This window comes from Homo sapiens, chromosome 2 (assembly GCF_000001405.40).
Source record: "Homo sapiens chromosome 2, GRCh38.p14 Primary Assembly".
Lineage (NCBI taxonomy): Eukaryota > Metazoa > Chordata > Mammalia > Primates > Hominidae > Homo > Homo sapiens.
Window position 1 is genome coordinate 120,829,883 of NC_000002.12, and position 13,296 is coordinate 120,843,178.

Genomic DNA, 13,296 nt, shown 5'->3' on the forward strand with positions numbered 1-13,296 from the left:
GTTCTGGTCCCTTTGAGTCAGCACTGTGCTAGGCATTCAGAGGGGAGGGGGCGCATGTTTTGCTAAGGGCAGGTGTGCCTGCGTGTGTGTGTGTGTATATATGTGCACGTGTGTGTAAAGTTTCCTTAGAAGAGGTGGCTTTTGAGCAGAAGCGCCTTGGGTGAAAAGTGTAGCAGGCTTGGAAGTCAGAGTGTGCTGCTGAGTGAGTGGGAGTCTGGTGGAGGTGGTCTTTCTAACCGGCCACAAGACCCTGGGCCCGCTCTGCCCCTCCGTCTGAGTACCTGCCATCCCAGGGGGTGAGTGCTGGCTGGGCTCCTGGTGCAGCCACCTGCACCGTGCAGTGCCATCACCGGGTCGTGTCTTGAGCCCCTCCTTGCCCTCCTGTTTGTTTAAGTGGCCTTGGCCTAGCTCCCTCTGCCCTCTGAGGGTCTCACTGTGCCCTAGCCCTGTGGGCATAGTGCCTGGCACATAGGGGGCCCTCAGTCTAGGGCACAGGGTGAGTAGAGGAGGAGGTTGGCCCTGCTGGGGCAGCATGCTTGCCAAGCCTGTGTGTGTGTGGGTTTTTGTTCATGCTTCTGCTGGTGTGTACGGAGAAGTGGGCCCAGACACACACAGACATACACGGATGCCCACCAGGCCCCACGTCCATCCATGGGAAGGGCAGCACATGCTGGTAATGTGTTCCCCAAACAGCAGCCTCTTGGGCTGCCTGAGCTCAGGGCAGAGCAGGGACGGGGCCTGTTTGTTGGGGCTCCAGCAGGGCAGGGGAGGGCAGAGAGTGTGAGCCCTCTGGAGAATGTGCAGGTGGCTGGGGGAGTGCCCTTCCCAGAACCTCATGGCTGGACCTGTGAGACTCCCTGCCCGTCCTGGTCCCCACCATGTTCCCTCTGTTTTCTGGGTGACTCTCTCTGCCTCCTTTCTCTGGTTCTCTCTGTCCTTCTCTGACTTTGTTGCTGTCTCTCTCACTGTTTCTTTGTCTGTCCCTCTCTTCTCTGTCATTCTGTTTCTCTCACTTGGTCCCTGTCCTGGATCACTCTGTGTCTCTGTGTCTTCTGTCTCTGTGTCCTGGTTTCACTCTGCCTCCGTATCTCTCTCTGTCTCTTTTTTTTTTTTTTGCCTGTTTGGTCTCTTTGTTTTCCTGTCATTCTTTTTCCCTCATTTGGTCCTCAGTTTCAGCTCTGCCTGTCTCTCTCTCTGTTTCTGTCATTCTCTCTCTCTCTTTCTGTCATCCTCTCTCTTTCTGTGTCATTCTCCATGTTTGTCCTTCTGTTCCCTTTCCTTGTCTGTCTCTGCACACCAAGGTTGCTCCCAGCTGGGAGGTTGGCCCTGTCCCGATGCCTGGCCCTTCTTCTGCCAAAGGCATCTTGGAAAGACTTGAGGTTATTCTGGTGCATTCAGTCCAGCGCTTGATAATTGTACTAACCTGGCAATTGGCAAGTGCTCCTCCCAAAGAAAACCCTCACAGTGCAGGGTGCTCTGCTGTGGGCACCAGGCCTCCCTGGAGGTTACAGGGCTCACAGTGTGGGGACAGGTTGTCCAGGGGCAGCTGGAGCATCCACTGGGATGCTGATGTCAGGCCAGAGGGCACCTGTGTTTTCCTGGGTGACAGGCCACAAGCAGGACAGCTCACACCCAGGAAAATAAAAGCCAGGCTCAGAGTACTTGATTCCTTATTATGGTTGGGGATAGTCAGTAAAATAGTAGATTCCGTTTTGAGAGCAGTATCAGTGCTCTGGGGCCTGTGAAGGGAGCTTTGGGTGTGCTCTCTGGTTGTCACACAGCCCCCGGTGGTGCAGGTTATTGTCCCAGTCTGTAGGAAGGGAGGTGCCTCCTGGTCTGGTGGCTGGGAGTGTGGCTTTAAATCCAGCTCTGATTCTTACCAACTCACCCAACTCTCCAGGCCTCAGTTTCTGCATTTGTCTGTGGGTTGTTGTGAGGATTCAGTGAGGTCATGCTCACAAAGTACCTGCGTGGAGTAAGGATGAAATCAATGGCACTAGTGTCAGGGCTGTCTCAAAGATTATCACTTAGTCTCAGGGGCTGGAGTGCCAGTGGGATTACCTACGCTGGACTGCGTCTGCTGCCCACCCATCGCTTCCCATATGGGGCACCACAAGGCGGGGTGGTTCTTGGTTTGTTCTTTCAATCAGCAGTAAACACCAGGTACACAGCATGGTACTTGCTTGGTGGAGAGGAATCAGTGTGGATTGGGGCCCCAGTCCATGCCCACCTGGCACAGGGTGCACCATCTGGTCCCACAAGGAGTCAGAGCCCCGGCCACTGAGGACTTCATCTCTGTGTCTTAAGAGCTCATCGGTCTTGAATTTGCCCCCTGGCTGCCCCTGGCAAGTGCTGGGGCTTATACCCAGGAGACCTGGGGTCAATGACTTGAAAATGAAGTACCCAGAACCCCATCACCCTACCCCACAGACCCAGAATTTTAGAGAGATGGCAGAGAGAAGAAAGGAGGTGCTAGGAAGGGTTGCAGAGGCTGCCTGAGGCACGGGGTGGCACCAGGCTGACCCGGGCAGCAGGGCCTGGGGCTGAGGCCCAGGCTGTGTCCCTTCCTGATGCGGCCTGAGCCTGGGCACTGGTCAGTCATCCCTGTGTGGCGGAGAACTCTAAACCTCGCTTGCTTCTCCTCTAGGCACACTCGGGCCCTTGTAAGGGAACAATATGTCCCTCTCCCACCCCCAGCCCAGGGCTGAGCAGACCTCAGGCCCTTTGGGACTGCTGCTTCTGCCCAGGGTGAGGCTGGCTGTGACTCTTTTGGAGTGTGTTCGGGCAATGAGAAAATCTGTGACTTTCTGCTTTGAGAAGAGACAAACCTGGGCTGGAAGGTAGCTCTTTCCCTGCAGGCTGTGTGATGGGCAGGTCACGTCACTCCCTGAGCCTTAGGCCATGGAGTCTTCAAGAGGACGGGTGGGCTGTTAGGTGGCAGCAGACCGGGGAAGGTCTGGTCCTCCACAGGGCAGCAGCAGGTGGCTCAGGGGCTCTGCTGGTCTCTTTCCTCTCTGAGACCCTTCCTCAGCCGGGTGCTGGCCAAGAATAGCTGGAAAGGACCTTCCTGCCTGAAGGATGGGATGTACTAGGTTGTGCTCAGGGACCAGGTCAGACATGGAAACTTGGGGCCTGGAGCCCAGGGACATGGCTGCCCATGGCCTCTTACCAGCCTGGATTGCTCTGGGACTCTTCCTCTCCCAGCCCACCTCCAGGCCTCCTTCATTTTATTCTCCTCGCCTTTGCCTTTCTCTCCTGTCCACCCTCCTGCATTTCCTTTCCCTGTCCTAGCTCCTTTTCTTTCTTCCTCGGCTTGTGCCTAAGGCCTCCAGGGCCTACGAGATGGTGTTTGCCTGTTGCGGATTCTCAGGGCCAGAGGCAGTATAGCTGGGGGCCTGGCATTTGGGGAGGGTTCCTAAGGGCTGTAACCCCAGAAACATTCCCCCTGCAGAGGGCAGTCTGCTCCCTCCCTGAGCTAGGTGAGGGTCTGCAATGGGTCCAGAACATGGGATCTATACCAAGTTCTGGGAACCAGCTCAACAGGCCTGGGCCTGCCTCTCACATCTCTGTGCCCTGGCTGTGTGACCCTGGGCAAGGCACTGCACCTCTCTGAGACCTGTTTCCCCATCTAGAGCACCCAAAGAATCAGGCTGCCTTTGCAGGGCTGTCATGAGTGGAAGCCTCATCCCCCAACCTTGGATGAGCAGACCCCTCAAATGTGCAGCTACCCACAGAGATTTTGACTGTCCATGGACTTTGGTGTTCAGACATCACAACAGCCACCTCCCACCACCGAGGTCAGCTCCTGCCACGCTTCTGGTCATCAACAGGACTGCCAAGACTCCTGGGCTGGGAGCATCCTTTAGCTCCCCAAACCTGCTAGCTGGCAGGAAACATGGAGGCCATTTAGGGACATTCAGCATTTGAACTTAAGATTTGTTTTCAGTAGAACCCACAAACCCAGTTTTAAAATTCAGTTGGAAACCAATCCACAAGTCTTCAAAGTCATCTTAGTGCAGTTCTTAAACTTGCAAAGTAACACCTAGTGGGTCTGTCATTGGCTTGTCTGGCTCAGCTGAAGTCAGAGCTCACAGCACACTGGCCTAACTCTCAGTCTGGCTTCAAAGTAACCTGTGATGCTGCTGCACAGCTCTGGGGGTGCTCAGTCCCCCGCCCCCAACCGCCACATCATCTTGCCCAGCATCCTCTGCACAATGTACAAAAATGTTTTCAAATGCAGGTTTTAGCATGATTCAGGTATGGTGAGGCCAGTAGAGCAGGGGAGAGTTGCCATTGAAAAGATGATTTGTTATTCACACTTCCCAGTGGGAGGACACCCCACACCATACAGGACTACTTGGGGAAGCATCAGGGTCAGTCAGTGAGGCATCCAGGGGAGAGCATGGGAAGGAGGCTTCATTGGTTTTTGTGGAAGGGCTGGCAAGGCAGGGCCAGAAGCTTAGGGTTGGCCGGTTTGAATGATTCTAGCAGTCTCTGGGCCATAGGGGCCATCGCTCTTTGTCTGAGACCTGGCCCTGGGGTGTTAGGGCAGAGGCATGTGGCCTCCCAGAGTGTAGAGCCAGGTAGGGGAGATGGTTTGGAGTATGGACTCTGGATCAGTTGGTTTGCACACAAAAAGGCTCACTCCTGGGTGAGTGCTTTGCTGTCACTCAGCCAGCCTTGGGAGGGGCTGCCTTCCCTCAGTCATCGAAGCCCCAGATGTGAGAACATTAGAAACACAGAAAACAAGAAAGTAGAGTTAATACCAATCATCAGGAGCTGTGAGATGGGGTCTGGGTTCTTGCAGACCCCTTTGTTCACAGACCTTTTCCTGGATTTCTTTTGCACCTGGTTTCAGATGCCTGTGTCCCCCTGCAGTGATGGCTACCGTGTCATCCAAGTCATCACTAACTTTCTGTGGGGGGTTATGCACAAGGCATGATCCTGGTGTTGTTCTGGTTTCAAGGCTGAGAGGTCGTGTGTAAGGACCTTCTGGTGCACTCCTCATGTGGCATTTCAGGGGCTCTGCACCCCATGTTCTCTGGGCTAAACCCACATGGGTCCTCACTCTTCAGCTCGTTTTCCACTGTTTGTGTGCGACATTTGGGTGGAGTTGTGACCAGGCAGCCTTATCATTTTTGGAGCAAACATTACTATTTTGATAAATTGACTGGTTTTTGACAAACACACCAAACTGAAAAAAAGACAATCTCTCTGAGGGAAGGAAAGTGATCATCAAACAGTGAAGACCAGGATTTGGGGGTGGTATGGGTGGAGCCAATGGTCTTTTAGTGGCATTGCTGTACTCATTTGATAGACAAAGAAGCTGAAGCAGGAAAAGAAGCTTAGGCAGTGCCCCACAGAGCTGCCCAGGAGCTGAGCACAACCAATACCAGGCTTTGGTGGGAGTTGATCAGATGCAGCCTTAGGGAAGATTGGCTCCCGTTGTTGCTCAGGTGAGGCGTCAGTCCTCCCAGGCCCCAGCCAGTCACAGGCACCAGACTTTTTTTTTTTTTTTTTGGAGACAGAGTCTCGCTCTGTCACCCAGGCTGGAGTGCAGTGGCATGATTTCGGCTCAGTGCAACCCCCGTCTCCTGGGTTCCGGAGATTCTCCCGCCTCAGCCTCCTGAGTAGCTAGGATTATAGGCGCCCGCCACCACACCTGGCTAATGTTTGTATTTTTAGAAAAGATGGGGTTTCACCATGTTGACCAGGCTAGTCTCCGACTCCTGACCTCAGGTGATCCGCCCACCTCAGCTTCCCAAAGTGCTGAGATTACAGGTGTGAGCCACCGCATCGGCCCAGACTATCTGTTTTGACCTTACATGTAACTTTGCTCTGGAAGTATCTTACCTTGGCATGTCTGGTCTTTGGAGAACACACATATGCACAGAAAGAGATGTGTGTGTGCGTTTGTGTGTGTGTATGTGTGTGTGTGTATACATATATATTTAAATATTTAATATTTTAACCACACCAAAGAGATGTAACAAATACATGTACCTCCATGCAGCTTAACTTTTTTTTGCCATTTTTAGTCTGCAGCATGTCAAGGTGGGGGATGTTCTGCCCTGGATGCAGACATTAGGGAGTGTGCATTGTTTATAGAGAATTCAAAAGCAATAATCAAACTGGCTAACAGTTTACTATATGTTATTACTATGTCCTGGCAATTTTAACCTATGTCAGTGATGACACAGCCCTGACTGGGGTAGTCTGATCCCATGGCCCCCCCATCTGGGCTGTTAAACCCTGATTTGAACCCCTATCTATTGCTCTTCCTTGATTCCATCACCCTCTTCTATCTCCTGCCCCCCAGGAGTAGCGTCAGACCAGAGAATGTTGTGTTTGTCATCCCTCTGGCATATTTCCCCGTTTTTACTTTATATGTAAATGCCCATACAGGGTGGGTTTCAAAAGTTGATTAAGATGTTATCTTATTATGTGTGTGTATATGTGTATATTTTTTTCTGTGCACAAGATTATGTTTTTGAGATGTATTCATGTCGTTACCTGAAGCTCTGATTTGCTCATTGAAAGCTCCGTAGACGCCACAATAAATGAATATTCCACAGCCGATTTCTCTCCTCGCCTGTTGAGGTAATTTACATTATTTACACTTTTTTATTGTTGCAGACATTGTTGCCATGGGTGGCACACCTCCCCCTGTGTCCCTGTGGGAGAACTTTCTTCACAGCAGGGGTTTATAAAATCAATTTCATGGGAAACAGCATTTAAAAAGATGCAATAGAAAATATCACAATACATTGCAAGTATTAAAGTTTTGTCAGACTGTTTTATTTATGTGTGTGTGCCTGTGTGTGTGCATGGACACCTGGAGCACATTGCAACACAACGTGTGTTTCTTTCTCTGTATCACACTGCTCATTTAGAAGCCCAAGCCCAGTGGAAGGGTAGATGTGCTGGGCTGTTGGGTGTACACACTTGTAGCTTTGTTAGATATTGCCAAATTGCTCTCCAAAGTGGCTGCACAGTTTCTTCAGCCTCACTTTTCATGAAATGGTTGACAATATTAGACTGGAATTTTTTCCAGTCTAATAGTGAATGATCTTAGTTTCATTTGCATTCTGCTCTTTTGCAACGTATTGGACGTTTGGGCTGCTTCTCCCTGATTTGCCTATCCATCTCCTTTGCTGAGCTTTTTACTGGGTTGCTGTGTTTTCCTGAAAGTACTTTTAAGAGATACTAATCTTAAAAATCTTAATCTTAGGCCGGGCGCGGTGGCTCACGCCTGTAATCCCAGCACTTTGGGAGGCCGAGGCGGGCGGATCACGAGGTCAGGAGATCGAGACCATCCTGGCTAACACGGTGAAACCCTGTCTCTACTAAAAATACAGAAAACTAGCCGGGTGTGGTGGCGGGCGCCTGTAGTCCCAGCTACTCGGGAGGCTGAGGCAGGAGAATGGCGTGAACCCAGGAGGCGGAGCTTGCAGTGAGCCAAGATCACACCACTGCACTCCAGCCTGGGCAACAGAGCGAGACTCCATCTCAAAAAAAAAAAAAAAAAAAAAGTCTTAATCTTGTTTAGACATGTTATAAATAATTTCTCAGTCTTCTGTTGGCCATTATCTTTGGGTATGGCATGGTTTATTGAGACAACGGTTGTACATTTTAACACAGTCGAGTGTATGATTCTTTTCCTCTGTGGCTTGTGTTTGTATTTTAGGAGGTTCTTTCTGTCCTTGAGGTCATACGGCTATTCTCCTATTCTAAAATTTAAAAAATTGTGCATTTACATGTAGCTTTTAAATTTAGCTGAGACTGTTTTGTCTTTGACATTATGTAGAGATCAAATTTGTTTTACTTTATCTATGTGAATAATCGTCTCAGTAGCAATTATTCTATTTCTTAATTTTTAATGATTTTTTTAAATGCAAAAACTGTCACATGTCAATTTTCCTTGCATATGTAGCTCTGTTTCCGGGCTCCCTACTTTGTTCCTTTGGTCTATTAGTTTCTTCTGGTGCCATCTCACATTGTCTTAGGTCTTACAGCTTTCTGTTAAGCATGGCAGGGAAAATCCCCTCATGTGTTCCTCTTTCAAATGGTCTTGGCTCTTTTTCTGCCCTTGTTCTACCGTGAGAACTTTAGGATCAACTTGTTAGAGTCCTGAAAATCCCTGTTGGGGTTTTGATTATAATTGAGTTATTTGTGAATGAATTTGGAGAAGATTGCCATCTTTGTCATTTTGAGTTTTCCCGCCCATGATCACGGCCTTTCTCCCTATACTTATTGGTTATTTTATGTCTTTTTGTTTTATCATTTGTATCATAAGGGTCTTACACATTTTTTGTTACATTTATTCATAAGTATTCTGAAGTTTTCTTTGCTGCTGTAAATGTTATATATATAAAATATACACACACATATATATATGTTTAAAAATTACAGTTTCTAGTTCATTATTGCTGGCATCTAGGCATGTAGTTAAATTTTATATATTGATTGTATTTCTAGCAATCTTGCTGATCTTTTACTAGTTTTAAATGTGTCCCTACAAATTTTATAGACATTTTATTTAATCTTGTCATTTACAAATGGTGATAGCTTTTTCCTTTCTTTCCAATTTTTCTCTCTTTAGTTATTTTCTTGCCTCTTACTGTGCTGTCTAGATTAGCACTGTCTAATAAAAATATAATGTGAACCACATTTAATTTTAAAATTTCTGATAGCCACATTGTCTTAGTCCACTTTGTGTTGCTATAACAGAATATCAGACTGGGAAATTTATAAAGAAAAGTCATTTACACTCATGCACCCCATAACAATATTTTGGACAATCATGAACCGCATATAGGACAGTGGTCCCATAAGATTATAATCCCATGTTTTTACTGTACCTTTTCTAGGTTTAGACATGTTTAGATATACAAATCCTTACCATTGTGTTACAGTTGCCTACAATATTCCCTATAGTAACCTGCTGTAGGCCAGGGTCAATAGGTTCCAGGAAGAACCTATATCATATAGCCTGGGTGTGTGGTAGGCTATACATTTAGTGATGCACCTAGTGATGCATATCTCAGCACATATCCCTGTCATTAAGTGGTGCAGGACTGTATTTCTCACAGTTCTGGAGGCTGGGAAGTCCAAGGTTGAGGAACCTGCATCTGGCAAGGGCCTTCTTGCTGTGTCATTCCATCAGCAGTGAGACTGACCCATAAATTTCCATTCTTCTCCTTATTTAGTTGAATTTTCAACTAAATTAACCTCATAACATGTCCTAAGGAATGCTTCCCTTTCCAATATTCAAATATTTGCATACCGTATGGATTATCTTCAAATATTTTAATATATTTGTATATGTTCATATTTGTATATGTCAACGATATGTTAAGGATTGTTGTCAAATATTTGTACATGTTACAAAGTTTGGAAAAACCCAAACTACCAAACCTCAGCCTGGGTTTGTTGGTTTCTTAACGTTTTTTAAAAAATTACTAATTCAGTTTATTTAATGGTTAGAGGTAATTCCAGTTTTCTATTTCTTTGTGTCATCTTTCATTCAACCAATCAATCTACCTCTGTCTTCAGGAATGTGTTCATTTTTCTTGTTTTTAAATTTAGCAGCAGTGTTTATAACTATATCCCCTTTTTCATTCTCTATGTTATTTATTTGTCCCTTCCCTGTTTCTTGGTTAGTCTTCACAGAGTTTTATTTTTTATTTATTTTTTTGAGATGGAGTCTCACTCTTGTCACTCAGGCTGGAGTGCAGTGACACGAATTCAGCTCACTGCAACCTCCGCCTCCCAGGTTCAAGAGATTCTCCCGCCTCAGCCACCCGAGTAGCTGGGATTACAGGCGTGCGCAACCACACCCAGCTAATTTTTGTATTTTTAGTAGAGACGTAGTTTCATCATGTTGGCCAGGCTGGTCATGAACTCTGGACCTCAAGTAATCCACCTGCCTTGGCCTCCCAAAGTGCTGGGATTACAGGCGTGAGCCACTGCACCCAGCCTTTTCACAGAGTTTTATTAATCCTTGCAAAGGTCTAATTCAGGAGTTGGTTGATTCTCTTTCTCGTTTCTTTGTTTTCTCTCTTACAGGTTTCTTTTATAATGATGTCATTATATCGTTTCCTTTCTTTCTTAGGTGTGCTTTGACATTATTTTCCCAATTCCTTGAATTGGGCACCTATGTGATTGATTTTTAGCCTTCCTCCTTTTCTACTCTTCTTGATATAAACATATTTCTAAGTTATGCTTCAGTTACATCCCGCACATTCTGAAACATAGCAATTTTATTAAATTTGAAGCCTTAGGATCCACGTCTTTGTACAGTTTTGAAAAATTTCCACCAACCATCTCTTCAAATTATGCCTTTCCCCGCTTCTGTCCATTCTCTCTTCCTGGAACTTTCTTATTCTGTCTTCCATGTGTCGGCACCTGGTTTTTATATTACCCATGTTTCTGTTATGCATTTTCTAATCCTCTCTCAAGCTGACTTTGATAATGCTCTTTGTGGTATCTGGTGACTCTTGTGTGTGTGTCTGCATGTCTGTGCATGCACGCGTGTGCATGGGCACTTTGTAATTTCAGATAATGAGTGGAGATTTATTTGAAGGAAACCTGTGCAGCATGAGTTAAGGCTATCCCTCCAAAGTGCTTTTCTGTGTGACTACCAGGTTCTTCAGGAGTAGCACAGATGTGAGATCAATTTTGTATTCTTTTGATAGCTTAGGGGTCCTGGACCACATGGGGACTATAAATTTGAACCATCACTCAGCGAGAAGGCAAGCATGTGGCTACAAACACTCAGAAGATACTTTTTCAGCTCCTCTGCCCGTTTCCCAGCAGAGGCGTGAGAAGCCAAGCATCTTGGTGTGTCCCTGTGCTGGTGGGCATTGAAGGGTATCCAGCCTGTTACTAGAGATGCAGCGATCCCATGGCCTTTGCACGTGGGGGTCTCGGATCCCCCTTCTTGTTTCTCCCAGACTCCAGGCCTCCTGTCCTCTCACTGCATGGTCGCTAAAAAGAGATCCACTGGGTTACTGAGGCCAACACCCACTCCTGGGCTGCTTAGTGTCAGCTCTCTGTCTGGTCTTTGGGGTCCCTTTGTTATCTGGCCCTACGTGGCCTCTTTCCTTGCCAGCTGAAATGTGCATCTAAACAGATGTTCATTCTGTTTATTGAGCTGGAGGGCCTTTAGTTTCCCTTGTTGATCGTATGGCTGAAACTCGAAGTCGCTACGCTGTTGTTTTTCCTATGCAAAATTAAAGGTAGAAAATGAAGTTGATGGAGAAAGAAACACACATTTTGAGAAAGAACTGTGTAATTATTATCCACTCCCTGCAAAAGACCCATGAAGTGGTCGGTTTTCAGAGGAGGAAATCCTTGGCGTCTGCCTTATTCCAAAATCCACTGGCTAAGTCACTCACCACCTAAGCCCTCTTGGACGAGGACCAAGGCTTCTACGCTCCATACTAAGGCACAATGTGAGGGATTCTACAGAGGGCCTAGTGAAGAGAGAGGAGAGGGCCCATTTCATCTCACTTTGCCTGGGGCCATCCTGCACGCTGCTCTGCTGTGTGATCTCTGCAGGACACTTGACCATTTTGTGAACACATCCTTATCAGTGAACTGCTATTTTTGTAATGGCAGTTCCCCCCAGACACTGAATCCACAAGCTTAAGGTAAGCTTAAGTCAAGAGTGATGACTTCTTGACTATTCTAGTTTTTCTGTCTTCATTCATTTCAACAGTATTTACCGAGGGTCTTCTGTGTGCCCAGCACTGTCCTGGGCACTGTTTAAAACATTGCTTCATTGCCTCTGGTATGCCAGGTGCTGGCAGGACAGAGGAGAACTGGACTTGCCTTCTAGCCTGCTCAGAGTATGGTGGGGGAGAGGCCTGTCCCTAGATTCCAGTGCAGAGCAGAATGCGTGGGCCAGTTGGGGTCTCTGGTTCCCCAGTTGGGAGGAGGACCATTGCAAGCCAGTCTGGAGGGTGTGTGTGTGTGTGTGTGTGTGTGTGTGTGTGTGTGTGTGATGCTGGGCTCTGGGAAAGATAAATGAAGGCCCTTCTCCTTCACTCCAGTTCACTTTTGGATGAACTGTTGGAGGTATTTGGCTTTTGGTAAGTTTTTTTTAAAATTTTATTATTTTAGCTACAGTAATTTACATGATTCAAACTCAATAGTTACCTATTTGTCAACTCAAAAAAAAAAAAAAAAAAACAGACTTCTTTGCTTAAAGTTGATGAGATTGAAACCAAAAAAAATTCAGGAGTTACTAAAGGTTATATGGTGAAAAATCTCCCTCTCAGCCAGCCCCCTGGTTCCCCTCCCTGGAGACGACCAATGTTCCCTGCCTCTCACATATCCTTTGCAAGAGATTCTAGATGTATACACATAAATAAAACATTATTTGTTTATATTTATATATGTGTGCTTACCTATAAATTTACACACATACATACATATATATGTTTTTTAATGCAATTGTCAGCATCTTGTTTTTTTTGCATGACAATGTATCTTGGAAATTGGTCCATATCAGACCTGGAGCGCTTCTTCATTTGTTTTTATGGCTGTTTGGTATTCCATTATGTGGACAGACTGTAATTTATTTAACGAGTCTCCCTCTGATGGATATTTAGATTTCCAATCTTCCGCTATTTTCAAACAATGCCATGAGAAATCATCTTGCCAAGGTGCGTCCCACATTTGAGAGCATGTTTGTGGGATGCAGGATGTAGCTTACAGGGAGCTCCTGGCATGCCGATGTGAGAACCGACCCTCCATAGCAAGGCTGCCCCACATGGCGTGGGCTGGCCTGGCCTCTGAGCTTCCTAAGGGCTAAACCTATAGTTACAAGAATTTTCCTAAGCCCCTCAGCCACAGATATATAATGTGTAGTTTCTGAATGAGTGAATGAAAATACTTACACTTCAGAGAAATTGTCCTTAGCAGAAGGCATAGGACATAGTTTTATTTGTTAGACTTACAGACCATCTGCCTGTGAATTCAAATAATAGTTTTCTTGTTGTTTTTGAAATGAATACATTCCATGAGAGCTGCTTACTCAGACCTTCAGTGGCCCAGCTGGAAGTCTGGTTGGGGAATCATTCCCTGGGTTGTACAAGTTGGTGCACCAGATTAAAGATAAAGTCATTTATGATGACACTAAAATAATATGAGCATCACATTTGGTAGAGACTTTGTTTTTGACGTAACCCAAGATAAGACCTTATCTGCTGTGTGTACGGGAAGGTGCCCTTCAATAAAGGCCTCATTTTCCTTTTAATATTCCAGAATGCAGTGGGAGTGAATGAATGC

At 46.5% G+C, this 13,296-nt stretch overlaps 1 protein-coding gene across 6 annotated transcripts in view, besides 1 other annotated feature; it reads left to right on the top strand.

The window, feature by feature from the left end:
- The window catches only part of GLI2 (GLI family zinc finger 2), a 256,786-nt gene that overhangs the window by 94,015 nt on the left and 149,475 nt on the right, over positions 1-13,296 (top strand). The gene's annotated exons all lie outside the window — the stretch shown is intronic.
- Positions 3,037-4,029: an enhancer, noted in NCBI's record as "H3K4me1 hESC enhancer chr2:121590494-121591486 (GRCh37/hg19 assembly coordinates)". NCBI's record gives its function as "activates a minimal SCP1, AML or CMV promoter by ChIP-STARR-seq in primed H9 embryonic stem cells {active_cell/tissue: H9 hESC(primed)}" and the evidence as "EXISTENCE:reporter gene assay evidence [ECO:0000049][PMID:30033119]".